This window comes from Homo sapiens, chromosome 12 (genome assembly GCF_000001405.40).
Source record: "Homo sapiens chromosome 12, GRCh38.p14 Primary Assembly".
NCBI lineage: Eukaryota > Metazoa > Chordata > Mammalia > Primates > Hominidae > Homo > Homo sapiens.
This window is the reverse complement of record NC_000012.12, coordinates 13,830,961-13,845,988: the sequence shown is the minus strand read 5'-3', so window position 1 is coordinate 13,845,988 and position 15,028 is coordinate 13,830,961. Positions and strand designations below refer to the sequence as shown.

Genomic DNA, 15,028 nt, shown 5'->3' with positions numbered 1-15,028 from the left:
CCATCAAAAATGCACAGGGTTCAGGGTGAGTAGATTAAAGTAAACAAAGGAAATGAGCAGTGGTGGTAAAATCTGAAGATGTATGATCCAATTATGAATTTTTAAACTGCATCCTTGCTGACAGATTTTAAGATTTGGCACATAAAAGGTTGCAAAGAGAATGTTGAAGCTCTTTACATGCAGTAGGGAAAGGAAAGGGAATTCCTAATAAGGCACACTCTATTTTCATCCCCACTCCACTCTATTCCTCACCCCTCCACAAAAATCCAGATGAACATGTTATCTTACTACATGGTATCAAAGACCATCAAGGTTGGAAGGGATCTTAGAGACTAGTCTCATGCCCTTATTTTACAATAGAGGACACTGAGGCCAAGAAAGATTAAGTGACTTGCCTGAGGCCACATCTCAATTCTCTCCTGGAGCTGGCCTACTTTTCCAGATTACCAGATCAGTTCTAGTAGAACTTTAAAGTCAACAAAATACCAGTCCTCTCTAATAGTTCATAGTCTACAGATAATATGATGTAATGAATTGCTATCTCTTCTCTCTCCTGATTAGAGGTGAGGACAAGGGCAAACTGAAATTAGGACTAGGGTAGGGAGGGAGGATATGATATTTTAATGTGGTTTGAGATAATTGATTGAAAGTATATTAATGAAATATATTGATATTGATAAAAGTTAATATTAATGACATTTGGGGCTGTATATAGTAGAAAGCCTATATATTAGAGATTATATGAACTTCTGATAATCGTAGGCAGACAGATGGAAAGAAAATTTGGATAATCTAAATTCTATTTGGGTGAGACTCTTCAATGATCAAAGAACACTCCAGAAACTGGTGTGTCCCAACTACTCACAGGCCATAGATAGTTCTTTTATTTCCTCCAAATGTGGCACCCTGAAGTCAGCCCCTTTACTCCTCATCTTGAAGCATTCTTCTAATGAGCTACTTAGGAAAGAAGTGCTCAAGTATGCAGAGAAATTCGTGTACAGCAGAAATTCATACTGGAAAAGCAGGGAGTCTTCCAGAAAGAAAGGAAAGGAAAATTGGAAGAGAGAACAGGAAGGAACACTACAGTACATGTGGCTGGAGGTAGGAGATAAAGATAACAAAATATTACCTTTCATGATGTTTTACAGTTTTCAAAGTAAATTTATATACTTTACCTTAATTTGATACTCATAACGATTGTGCAGTATGGGAAACTGCATCTCAAATTCTCTCTCTGAAAAGTGAAGATAGCTATTGTCACTATCCCCATCATCACCATAAGTCTCTGAGAAGTTAAATGATATGTCAAAGATGGAGAAATACTAAGTGGCAAGGCTAGGACTAGAATGTAGGTCTTCTGGCCCCTAAGTTAATGGCTGCAAGAGAAGAGAACCATGTAAGCTACACTGAAGAGTGCTGAATGGCTATGATTGATGAGTGGTGCCATGTCAGCACAGGGGAGTCAAATGGAATGCAGAGGATTTGGCCACGGAATTCTTTGTAGACCTTGGCTGATGGTTTTCTGTTAAATGAATAGCTTTGATGGGACTAGAGAGGATGAAGAAGTTACTTAAAGGGAAGAAAAAGAAGCTATGGGTATGTTAACAGTGCATGCTTAAGGGCCTAGACATTGATTGGAAAGGTTGGGCAGCTATCTAGAATGAGGAATTCATAGGCCCATACAGAGGAATGGACCCATACAGAGGAATTTTAAAATAAGGAGAAGGATTAAACCTCAGTTTAGTGAACAAAAGGCAAAACCATTCAAGCCAAATATGACCAAGTTAAGTCTACAGCCTCTCACCTTATCCGTCCCCTCCTGGGGAAGAAAAAGAGCCACTATTAAAGCCTTTTACCAGAGTACTCTTAAATCTGTTCTGAATAAAGCTCTAAATGGGCTGGGATGGTTTCCCTTCATTAACACTTCATTAAGCTTTGTCAGATATAAGCCTCCTAGCCAGATCCTGGCAAGGGACTCTCACTGAGGTGATAATGAGGAGAAAAGGTTTTGGCCTACTCCAGAGCTGTTGAATGTAGGCTAAAATATATTTTGATAACATTGGTATTAAAATGAGTATTAAACATCACTTTACCCTGGGTGGTGTAAATAGAATACATAGGCACAAACAGAAAGAGACAAGCATGCCAATATAACATGACACATTTCAAAGAGATTTGGTGATTGGCTGGAAACAAATTGTTAAAATCTAAGTCATGTTGGACTTCACAAATGATGGGATCTTGATAGATTTGCAACGTGTTCCTAATATTTTTAAAAATGCCTCTTTCAAAAACAGACATAATAATTGTACATGATTCTTAGAATGTTGGTGCTTCTAGCCCTAAATTGTCTTCTGACTGTTTAATATTTATCAACTACCAGCTGTTCTTAGAATTAAATTGTGCTAATCTTCTAGTAGCTTACCTACGCTCCTAAAAGTGCTGTCACACTGATTTAATATCCTGTGAAAGCCTGAAGGTGCAGACATTTTAAGAAAAAAAGGTATATTTAATCTTTACTTTGAAGAAGCTTCTGATTTGGCCTCATGGAAAAATTATGAAATTTTGTGAAAATATTATAAAAATACAAAAATTATAAAAATATTAACACAGAATCAAATGGGAATGACCCCTAGGGGTACTTGATGCAGACACAGTTGTCTGGAAGATCACACTCATAGTAATCAGCAATCAGATGTCAACCAAAATTTGGAAAGTGAGTATTTGTGTGTGTGTCTGTGCGAGTGTGTGTGTGTGTGATGTGTATGGGGATTCAGGAGAACATAAGAAAAGCCAAAATGGTGTTTTTGAGGTGGTTTTCCTGGGCCCAGTGTTGATATTATTGTTTTTAAAAAGCAGTGTTTTTTTTTTTTTTTTCCCCAGTGTAGCAAGCCTACACATTCTGCACATGTATCCTGGAACTTAAAATAAAATATAAATAAATAAATAAATAAATAAATAATAAAAAATTTTAAAAAGTAAAAATTAAAAAAAAACAAAACACCGCAAAAAATTAAAAAGCAGTGTTTTGAAAACAATAAGATTTTCTAAAAAAAAAAAAAAAAAAAAAAGAAAAACCAATCTTCACAACATTCCAATGAGCAACTAATCAGAAAAGGAGTTGGAAAAGGAAGACTATTATGTATGGAGCCCTTGCTATGTGTAAGAGCTTTATATGAATTATCTCGTTATAATTCTCCTAATTAATTTTGCCATCACTTCACTAGACCCCATTTTCACCCTATTTCCATAATGAACTGTAGAAGTTAGCCTACTTTTCAGGTTTATTTTTATGCAAGAAGTCAACATTTTGATAATTTCATCAAATTATCTAATGATTAGCTTTTTGGAAAGTGGTCTAGGATTAGTTTTACTCATTCAGAACATCCTTTATGTGTTAGATGTGGTACAAATCACTGAGGGTATGGTGAAGCTGGAGAAATAGATGAACATGCATAGTGTTTTAATCAATAGTGGTATGCAGAATGCATCACAAAAGGAGAAAATGGCACAGAAATTAGATGAGGAAGATTGAATTTGAGCAACCAAGATCTGGGGGACGATCATGAAAAGTTTGCGGCAGTGAGCTACAAAAGCCGGGTGTGGTATACCTTGGACATTTTAAGGGCTTATCTCATAGGACTAAGAAAAATAATGCATATCAAAACTGCTGGTGATGTTGACACCTGGTAGGTGGTTACCCACCTACGTTAATTGAAGTGAAAAATGAAAGCAAATAATTTAAAACAGAAGTCTGAACTGTAACATAATGAAACCCCTATGTGGCTGAATTCACAAGATACTTGAGTGGAGAGTGTCATATTGGGATATGGTTATACGAAGCTCCCTGATGTCCCATGACCCATACTGGCAGTGGCAGTCCCTTCGTCAAGCCTCCTTTTTGGCCAAGAGGGAACCAGTCTTGGTGGGGACTTTGCTCCTTCCAGGCACACAGCCTCTATTGCCAGTTGCTTAGAGGAGAGGTTTCTGATTTCTCAATTTGCAGACTAATTATTTTATAATGATAGTGGCAGTGGTGGCATGATGTAGCACGATGAATTGTTATTTTTCCAATTTCGACTTTTAAAAAATAGTCCTATACCATATTTTTTTTAAAAAAACAAAGGATATGGAAACTACAAACAAAACTAAGAAATATATGATCTCAGAATAAAGAACAGTCCTTTAAATTGAATACATCTCGCTGTGTCAACAACCCAATACATTGTTTTTATTTTTCTCATTTTTCTGTGGGCCAGTGATAACTTTATCATGGATTGTCATTGATCCATGGGCTAGTGTTTGGGAAGCACTGGTGTAGATATTGTTGCTAGAGACAGTGTTTCCAAGGAAATTGCTTCTAAGAGCTGTGGATCGAGATGCGTCCCCTGAACTGTTAGGCTAGAGCCTGACAGGTAAGGGCTCTGCTCGTGTCTTGTTTCTCTGACAGAAATTACAGCACAGTGAAAAGTGTGGCACTGAGGTCCTATGGGATATCATCATCTCCAGCAGTGACAGACTGATGAGGTTCCGGGATTGCGGGGGAAGTGATCAATGTACTGTGTCTTGACTTTAGCGAGCCTTTTATTTCTGTCCCGTGTGACATATTCATCAATAATCTGAGAAAATAGAATCTACACAACTTTCTGGTTGGAAGTTTATATCAAAAGTGTGGTACAGAGGTAAGAGGGCTTATCTGAGAGTTAGAAACACTGGGTTAGAGTTTAGGCTCCGGCATGGCTAGCTGTGTGATCTTGGATAAATCATTCATTAGGTCTCAGCTTCTTCAGCCATACAATGAGAATTGCATCTCCTGGGGCTCATCAAGTTGTCTTTAGTGTTACAAAACCCAACATAACTTCACATTTATCTACAACTAGGCTGCTTAGGCTAAGAAAAATATGTTTCTTTGCTTTGAGTTAATATCATGTCATATCATTGATGTACAGGAATCTCATGCTGCTCCAATATATATTTGTAAAAAGAGGAAAACTATGATTACTTAATAAACACATGGCTATAGGGCGTTATTCATACTCATAGTGAGGAACAATTTTTCTTTACTTCTTGTTTCTGCCCTCTGGAGAATGGAGCTGAAGGAGTTCTTATATTTTTAGAAATATGTAAAAAATGATAGGACAAACAATTCAGGGCTCAGAGAGAACACCACCACCATCACCACCAACAACAAAAAACTCAGAGAATGTAGCATACGAAAGATAAAAGTCAGCTATGTAGTAGTATTTTTGGAACCAATCAATAAAGAAACATCCAGTGATTTTTAGACAGGTAAAAGGTAGAAAGTAACCTAACTGGAACTGATCAGGTACTTTGCTGTGTGCTTTATTTTTTATTTTATTACAGTGGCTATATTATTTAATTGCATTATATTAATTAACATATGACATTAATGATCTTGTTTTTATTTTTCTATAATCCTGTGAGGTAATTATTATTACTCCCATTTTATATACAAGAAAACTGGGGCCCAGAGATGTTGAGTTGTTGTCAAAGTTGTCCAGCAGGTAAGAGGGGCAGCCAGGATCTAAATCAGGTATCTTTGTCTACGAATCACAAGGTCCCCTGCACTGATACATTCATTTACTGCCACCTCCTAATGCACAGTAAGCATCCAAGGCACGTTTCTCAGCCTTGGAATTTTTACCTATTTTATTCTGCTGTTTTTCCTTTCAACAAAATGACCTTGAATTCCTTTCCAGCTCCATGTTTCTAGAATGCTTGGATCCCTACCGAATGAACAAAATCCAGAGGGAGTGAAGTTGGCCCCAGTGATATGGAGGGCTGGGTGGGGCAGAACTGAGAGGCACAGGCTGAAACAGAGCAGTACGTTACGCACTGTAGTGGCATGCATAATGCCCTCTTAGAGATGGAGTGAAACACACCTCACCCTTTGAGTTACAAGTGGTTTGATCCCTCACTCTAAGGTAAACTCACTTGTTCTCCTTCTAGCTAGGTGGGGAGAAACATTACATTTTATTCCAAAAGATTCACGTATAAAAATATCCCATGGTTTCTATATGGGATAAATATACATGCATATGCGTATTTTCTATTATGGAGATTTTTTTATGTCCATTGAATGAGCTTACTGGACCGTTCAATAAAATCAAAGCTTTGACCTGGTTATGAGTCACTAAAGAAGCTGAATTTTTATAGTCAATTGATGCTGTTGGATGGCTTTAGTACACACATTGTTCTCGGTTCTTTGGGCCTTTCTTGTTCCTGTCCTTGTTTCTCTGAGCACTGTGGACCATGGTGGCATCAATCTGAGGCGTGCAGTCACAAGACCTTTGTCTGACACCTGGGGCTTCCGTTTGTCTCTGCCTCTTGCCAGCTGCATGACCTTGGGCAGATCACTGAACCTCTCTGAGCCAAAGCTGCTTTGTCCATAAAATAATGGATGATGTAATGACTGAAATGAGATACATGAGAGTGCTTCGTTGAGCTATAAGCACTGCACAATCATTAGGTATTGTTCATATTCTGGCTAGAGGGAGCTGAAAAACATCTCAGGGATTTTCACCATGACGATTGTATGTGTGGTTACATTTCACTGATTGAACCACTTTCAAATTTTCTCCAACTGGAAAATATTCTAGCCCAACCTCTCCTCTGTGTAAGTAATCATGGTAAAGCTGCTTCTGGGCTCCATCACTCTCATTCAGGTACTTCTTAGCCCTGATCCAACCTGTCTCCCTTGTTCTGTGGATGTCTCTGCATGTTATGCCATATAATTAATTTTAGATGATAGAAAATCAGCCTGCCAGGCTACTGTAGAGATGACGGATTCTTTGCTGTAGCTTCATTCACCTTTCTGCACATGTATGCTTCACAGTGCCAGAGCTGACTTAACCTCAGAGTGTGATCAGTAGGTGTTATAAACAGAAGAGTCCTTGGTGGCACCTCTTTTGCCATGTGTTGGCAGAGTGAATGGGTGAATATGCTGGCAAAAAAAGTGGTTCAGGCACTGGGGGCCTTGCTAAATGACTGCTATCTGATGAGCTCCCTGGTGGAGTGTTTCCAAGAGGGGCAGTTGTCAGTGAACATGAGTATGTGAATGCTGGAGTGCCTGGAATAATACGTAAGAGGGGAAGAGGCAGATTTATGCTGCTTTGCATCAGCAGGGCACTGGGAGCAAGCTGGTAGTTTCCTCTACACACCACCCTGAAATACAGATATTTCTTGGGCAAGACATCTGGCTTCTCCATCCACTCCCCTTCCTCGCCCTTCCTATTAGATTGCTTCCAGGCCATGTTAGAAATTCTCCTGTGCCACACCTGAGCATCAGTGACTGCTGATGGAATGAGTGTTTTCACCCTATTAATCCTTGAAGAGGTGACAGGAAAGGGAATAGATAAGATGGGGGGGTGGTGGGGAGAAAAGACAGACAGGAAGAGACAGATAGTGTAGGAAGTGGAGGCCAGAAGGTTGGCGCTGTAATCAGAAGAGGCCATTGAAGTAATGTGATAAAACAATGCATGGATAATTCAGTTATTTTTAAAATGCAGGTTATTCAACTGAGGAAAGGAGAGAGAACTAGGAAGGTAAGAAAGGTTACACTGAAGGACTGGGGTGCTTCGGATATGGACCTTTGTGTTTTCAGGATCAAATGGATTTAGACTAGGGTTTTTTCCTCAGAGAATGAAGCATCCAAGGGAATATCAGGGGCTTTAAGGGTGGAAAATGGACCACGCAGGTGCTTTGGGCCGAGGCTGACTGTGCTTCAGGCTTTGTCTTGAGGAGAATTTTAAGTAGTGTTTGTTAAACACTTCTTGTTTTCCTTTCTCATTTTCCCATTTGCTATTTACCTCTTATTCTTTCCTGTCCTCATCCCTCCGATATGTAGCCTTTTGCACATTTAATTTTGGTAAAAATGGATGGTTTTACATTTCCTCTTGTAACTCTCTTCTAAGTCTTTACATCCCTTGGTAATTCATGGAGATCCAACTAGAGAAAAAGCAAAATTGCAGTCAAAGAATGCATGGTATTTTCTATTAAACAAATATTTAATATTTATTTGCATTTGTTAGAAACGCAGTGTGCCCATGGCCGCTCCTAGGGAGGCAGGGAGGTAGGAGCTTCTAGCTGTTCACAGATTTCCATCAGCTATAACCCCTTCCTCTCCCCACACCATAGCAGCCATCCCAAATAAATACACATGTTGAATGTAGATGTGTTTGCTATGTGGTGCTGCCTCAGCACAGCTGCTGAGCCCTGCCTTTTGAACAGATCGCCAACCCCAAGCCCTTCTATTTGGACATCCTGCACCACCATCGAGAGGAAGGCCATGGTTAAGGACAGTGAATTTGAAAGTCAAAATTGGTTTTGCTGGCTCCTGTCTGTGTGAACTTAGGCAATGACTTAACCTTTTGGAACTTCAGGCTCCTCACTGTTAAAACAGGAATAATGCCAGCCATGTATGGTTAACATAGAAGGAAATGCCTTACCTCACTAAACACTCTGTCCAATGCTTGGCTGAGAAGGGCGCCCTTCTGATTGCCAGCCTGCAAATGGGCCAGGCACCATGCCTCCCTCCCCCACAGATATTTTATGCATGCCTCCCAACAATCCTGTGAGGTAGAGATTGTTGTACAAGTGCAGAAATGCAGGACTCAGGGGGACTGTGGTTTGGGCCAGGACATGCATGTGTGAAGTGGTAGAGGAGGACATGTCTCAGAGAAAGATCTGCTCTTGGTTGGAGGAGATAGGGCCAAGAGAGGGTGTGTTTTGTGGGAGAGGTGTGATTTCCTTTAGCTAGGGATATAGTGAAGCCCCCTAAAGGCCTTGAGGCCTCTGCCTTGAGTCAGGGCCATACAGGACAGATAAGATGGACTCATTCTGAGTTGTGGGATGTTTATGGAATGGAAAGTTTCAGAGAGAGCACAGCAGAGCAAGTGGAAATTTCAGTTTTGTGTGCTAAGAATAAATCTATAGAGAAAATGATTTGATGTAAGCCAATGAACAAAAAGAAAGAGAGAGCCCGGGGATAGCAGTGCACCCATCTGCTTCTATTATTATTGTTGTTGTTTAGCTAAGAGAAGAATGCATTCTCCATTCCCCGGGCCGTACGGGGCTCATCAGGTTACCTGGACACCTATGACACACACCACTTCTCACAGTGGCATCTGAGTGTGCCATGAGGCATGGGACCATTTGCTTCTCCTTCTCAGCTTCTGGCTTGGCCCTCACCTGCTGGAGCTGCTCAGCTCACAGGGCTCTGTCAGAAGATCTCCAGGTCCCAACAGAAGAGAAAAGGGGAAAGGCAGAGCAGGCAAACAGGCCAGAAGGACTAGGGGAGAGACTTCTGAAAGAAAAAAGAGACAAAGTAATGTGGAAGGCAATGTGATTGAGAACTAGTTGCAGGGTGAAATGAATGCTGAACATTAAGTGCATAATTTGAGTAATTAATGTTCCAGATGGGAGAACAGTTTTATATTCTTATTCCTATTTTCCAAAGGTTCAGAGCCACGCAGAAAACTCTTCCCTGAATTGCCAGCATCACTGGCTTGATCCCAAAGGACCACACATGGCATAACTTCATTTAGGCATGGTTTCCAGGTGGCTTTTACATTTTTTGAATAAATAAAATGTTTTTTCTTCCCCCTTAGGCCAGAATTCCTAACCAGTGTTCCATGCATGGTTACAGGTGTGGCCGAATAATTGCTGTGCTCAGCCCTCAGGACTGCTGGGTTCACTTCCCCAACGGCACAAGATCACATGCCCGTCAAGTCTCCTGGGAAAGGCCTGAGTATGGCAGGCAGGTTTGCTGTGGGGCTGGCAGCCCTGGAAAAGAGGATGAGGAGTACTGGGCTGGCAGCTGTGTGGCTTTGGGAGAATCTTTCTGAAGATACAGGTTAACTACATACAAATGCAGTCCCCAACCTGCCCAGATCAGAGAGAAAAGATCCAGTTCAGGACTTGCAGCTTCGCTGTATGAAATTTCTCTTGAAGAATGGCTGGGCCTTGGGCAGCCTCTCCCTCTGGCCCTCAGCAGGCTTCAGGGCTCTTCCTCCTCTCTCAAACCTCCCTTACACTCTTTTCTTTCTTCTTCTTCATAGTTGAACTATTTAACATGATGTTTAAAGGCATGCCTGGCTGCCTTGTGGAGATTCAGAGTTGCCATGGCAATGTGGCCTGTTTCTCCAAATTAGGACATATTCCTGCTGGCTTTCTTTTTTTTTTTTTTTTTTTTTTTTAATGTGCTATGTTTTCCCTCTCATACAACTCCTGTGCCTCTTTACATCCATCCCTGCCTTTCTCCCTGAGAATGCTAATTTAAGTACCTGTCCCCAGAACTGGAGAGGTCTGAAGGCTAAAGGGGGTGCCTTCCTGATGTTCTCTCCAAGCTCATCCTTTTCCCCATTGCACGTGGGTCTATGTCTGTGGGGCTGCCATTTCCGTGGCCTTCTGAGAGCCCTTTCTGTGAGGTTTTCTCCTGATGCCTGTTTTTTTTCTGGGCTGGGCTGGTAGCAAATGAATTTCTGTTTTACGTAAAACCCTTTTGTGAATGGCAAGAGGTAAGGAAGAGACAACTGTGGCTTGGATTTTAAATATTATTTCCCAGAAACTTCTTCCCAGGCACGTGCTCCCTTTAGGGGATGCTCACAAGATAGACAGGATTCAGGATAAATGAGGGTGCATGCGCCTCAGCTTTTTCTGTACCACTCATTTTAGGATCCCAGGAAAATATGAACTTCAAATCAAGAAAGCTCTGTAATCTGAGGGTAAGGACAAAAACTGGTCAATGTTTTAAAAAAAGAAAAAGAGAAGGCTGTGGGATGGAGGCGTTCCTTTCCTTCAGGATTATTTCTGCTCCATAGATTGTAGATAGCTCTTTGAGCCAGTTGAATTACAGTCTGTTATAAAAATGGGGAAAGAAAGAGAATGAGAAAAGCAAGACCGATTTAACTCTCCTGTTTCTTATTTTAATTGCTGGTGCTCTGTCCTTGGCACATGAAGGCCAATTAGAGAAGGCTCCTTGGCCCACACTTAGAGCAGAGATGCGCAAACTTGGCTGCACTTTGGAATTGCCTGGGGAGTTTAAAAAAATACAGATGCCTGGGTCGCTCCCATAAAGAGTCTGATGTAATTGTTTCAGGGTGCAGCTTGGGCATTAGAATTATTTTTAAATGCTCTCCAGTTGACTCTAATATACAGAAGTTGAGATTTACTGGCTTAGATGGTGATTGCTTTTGGAAGACAGAAATCATGGCTTCCAAATGTTTGGCTATAAAGTGGCTATCTCTGAAATCCTTGGACAAAAGGCACAAAATTCTCAGATTTAATTCATTCACACCTTCCCCTCTGTTCCCTGCATATTCACCTGTGAAAGGGCCGAAGGGAGAGCACCAAGACAATTAGCCAGGTAAACAAGACAAGAGTTGACCCAGGGACGAGGTCCACTGCAGCCAGACAGTGACATGATGGGAACCCAGGCAGTGTCAGGGCTGCTGATATGTGGGCCCAGAGTGGGAAATAACACTGGTGCAGTCACATGTAGGTCAAAGATGACACCCTGCATTGTAAGTGAAACATGACGTGGCCCTTTGATGTGTTGCTGGAGCTTGAGCTAAAGCTGCTGGTGGAACTTCCTGTGGACAGCCTCTTCTAGTTCTAGAAGTTAGCTAAGAGGGCTGGGCATGGTGGCTCATGCCTGTCATCACAGCACTTTGGGAGGCCGAGGAGGGTGGATCACGAGGTCAGGAGATCCAGACCATTGTGGCTAACACGGTGAAACCCCATCTCTACTAAAAAAAAAAAAAAAAAAAAATTAGCCAGGCGTGGTGGTGGGCACCTGTAGTCCCAGCTACTCAGGAGGCTGAGGCAGGAGAATGGCATGAACACGGGAGGCAGAGCTTGCAGTGAGCCAAGATTGCACCACTGCACTCTAGCCTGGGAGACAGTGCGAGACTCCGTCTCAAAAAAAAAAAAAAAAAAAAAAAAAAAAGAAGTTAGCAAAGAGACTACTGTGTTTTCACCTTGCACCTTTTCTGTAGGCAGTGGGCATGTGTACATCACGAGGCAGCAAGCTTTCAAATGACACACTTTTGACCACATTCAGAAAGCATCGCTGGAATGACCTTCATTTTTTTTTCATCTGTAATCTTCATTAGGGAGGAATCCTGGGGTAGTAGGAAGGACCTGTGATACCTGCTGTGCCATTAACAATCCGTGGTACTGTGGAAAAGTCCCTTATGCTCTGGGGCCTTCATTTCTGCATCTGTAAAATGGGGTAGGAATGGGAGTGAAGTGGGGGCTGTTGAGCCCCTTCGGTTGCAAGGATGTTGTTTGTTTCTATCAGTCCCATGTTTGCACCTGCTGTTTGTTAAAAGTTACCTATCAGGTGGCAACATGATGACAGCCTCGTTTTAGGTCAGAGTGGGAGATAAGCCAGATAGTAGGAATTCAAGATGTGGAGTATCTTGGGCTCAGAGGTCCTTCAGGAAAACTAATGAGAACACACCTGAATTTGTAACAGAACACATTCTCAGTTAACTTAAAGAACCAGACTTGGGAATCAGGGAAGGGCTGGAGAGCAAAACTGGAATAAGCAAAAGGCCAATATGCAGAGGAGATGGAGGGGAAGAAGGTTCCGAGGCCCATTGTGACTGTCCTAAGCCAGGTTCTAGGGTATTCATCTCCTCGTGAGGACCAGGCCTGGCAATTCTCCTGTTTGAGTACCTACCTCTGAGTGGAAGGATTGAAATTGTGAGATGTTTTAGTGATCAGGCATCTTTCTAGTTCAGGTTGATGATATACCCATGAGTTAATACAAGTCTACATCCTCTGTCTACTTTCAGTTCAGGGGATGATAATTTTTAATACCATATCATATGTCATGCACTGTGCTAGACACTGTTCTCAAGAAGCTTCCAACCACTGTAATAAGTACTTTAACAATGAACATTTGTATATCATCCAGTATACAGAGCCACTTTTACATGATCCGCTTTGTTCCTCCATACTATTTATTCATGATATGTTTTATTCATCAGAATGACGATTTTTTTTAATTAAAATATATAGTGTTGATGTGAGTGCAGGGAAATAGAGACTTTCATAATTTCATGGTAAACATATAAATTGGAGTGACCTTTGTGAAGACAGTTTGGCAATAAAAGCCTCAAAATATGTATACCCATCACTGCTATTCAACTTACAGAAATTGATCCTATGACAATGCAAAAATATTTACTTGAAAGGTGGTCATCATAGCATTAGTTATCACGGTGAGTAATTTGAAACATTTTACATGTTCAGTGATGAAGGGCTGGTTAAATTAAATTATGGTATGGATGATAAGCAACCATTAAAAATCATGTTATAGAAGAGAATAATAATGAAATAGGAAAATGTCATTTCTATAAATACATGAAAAAGGCAGGTTAAAATTATAATCAACAAATATTTATTGAGTGCCTGCTGTGTTCAAGACACTATACTAGACACTGAGAATAGGGTGGCAAATCAGACAGACTCTAGACTTCAAACTCCCATCCAGTGGGCATGAGGGGTCTCTACTCTGGGAGGTTTTATTCAGTAGTAGTGTGGAAGGTGTACACTCTCGAATACTATGTTTGATGTGGTATATTTCAGAGGATAAGGGTGAGATGAGGAGGAATACATGTTTGTACTATGAAGATGTGAGCATTTAAAGCAGATTACATATAGACACCAAAATAATGTTATATCTGAATGAAAAGTAGCACAGATGATGTAAATGTTCTTCTGTATCTTTTTAATAATTCTTTGATTTATGAGCATGCTTTATAATGTTCTCATAATAAGAATAAATACGTGTAAGAAGAAACATAGTTCTTAGAAAGTTGCTAAATTTTCATGGACTCTATTTTCATTTGTAAACACCACCTTTCTTTAAATTTATCCTTCTACTTCTGTTGGCCAGCACCAATAAATAAAAATAAACTTACAAAAACATGCTACCCTGCCCCCCACTGCCCTTCACCACCAGGGGAAGAAAGAAAAGCCCATCTATATATGGAAGCCTGTATTTTGGAACAGACATATGAAAGTGTTTCTTCCAAAGGCACGTTCTCCTGAAAAGATGATAGAACACTAATGAAACACAGGGTACTGCTTATTGTATTTATTTTGGGCCTGCTGATTTGTTTCTCTTAAGAACAGTCACATTAATATTTGTTTCTGGATATGTCAGCACACAGTGTTTATAAGGCTGAATAAGAAAAGAGACTAAAAACCTTTCACCAAGGAGGCGGCCAGGTCTGGCCTGGTGCAGACAAGGGGCCTATGACATTGGTCTAGAGGGAATTGTGGGTGGCAGTTACCGGGCTCCCCCACATGAGCCTCTTTTTCTTCTTCTACTGTCCTTGCCTATTCCTAACGTGTTCCCTTTCTCCTACTCAATTTCAGTCCCTTTCAATCCATCACATTTATTGAGTGTTGCTTGGTCTGGCATTATGCTAATCTCCCTCTCCATAGCCCTTGGTTTTAGTAACCTCTTCTGTGACTCCATGCCTGTTGGGCCTGAGCTGGCATCTTCTAGGGGATCCTAGAAGAGAGGATCACCAGCAGTTAATAAACACTGAGAATTCTCCCAGCTCTGTCATTGTCATTTGGGGCAACTTAGAATTTACTTGTACTGGTTCTATGGAGAATCAGAAAATTAACTTGCCTGCTGTCTTAGTTCATTTATGTTGCTATAAAGGAGTACCTGAGGCTAAGTAATTTATAAAGAAAAGAGGATTATTTGGCTTACACTTCTGCAGGCTGTACATGAAGCATGGCGCCATCATTTGCTTCTAGTCAGGGCTTCATGCTGCTTCCTCTGAAGGTGGAAGGTGAAGGGGAGCTGGTGTGTCCAGAGACCACGAGGTGGGAGAGCGGAAGCAGGAAGGTGCAAGACTCTTTTTAACAACCTGCTCTTAGGGTGACTTTCACAGCAGCTAATAGATTGAGAACACACTCATTGCCTTGAGGAGGGCACCAAGCCATTCATGAGAGATCCACCTCCATGACCCAAACACTT

General features: G+C 41.0%; 1 protein-coding gene and 1 long non-coding RNA gene across 7 annotated transcripts in view; one reads left to right on the top strand and one right to left on the bottom strand.

Moving 5' to 3' along the window:
- The window catches only part of GRIN2B (glutamate ionotropic receptor NMDA type subunit 2B), a 444,798-nt gene that overhangs the window by 136,146 nt on the left and 293,624 nt on the right, over positions 1–15,028 (top strand). The window lies entirely within an intron of this gene.
- LOC105369667 (uncharacterized) lies at positions 7,861–12,549 on the bottom strand. 2 transcript variants are annotated; one of them, XR_931370.4, is made up of 3 exons: positions 12,485–12,549; positions 9,211–9,325; positions 7,861–7,968 (listed from the first exon to the last, which is right to left on the bottom strand). It is a non-coding gene; the product is annotated as an uncharacterized LOC105369667 (long non-coding RNA). The 2 variants fall into 2 exon arrangements; XR_007063216.1 differs by lacking the exon at positions 12,485–12,549 and adding an exon at positions 11,345–11,466.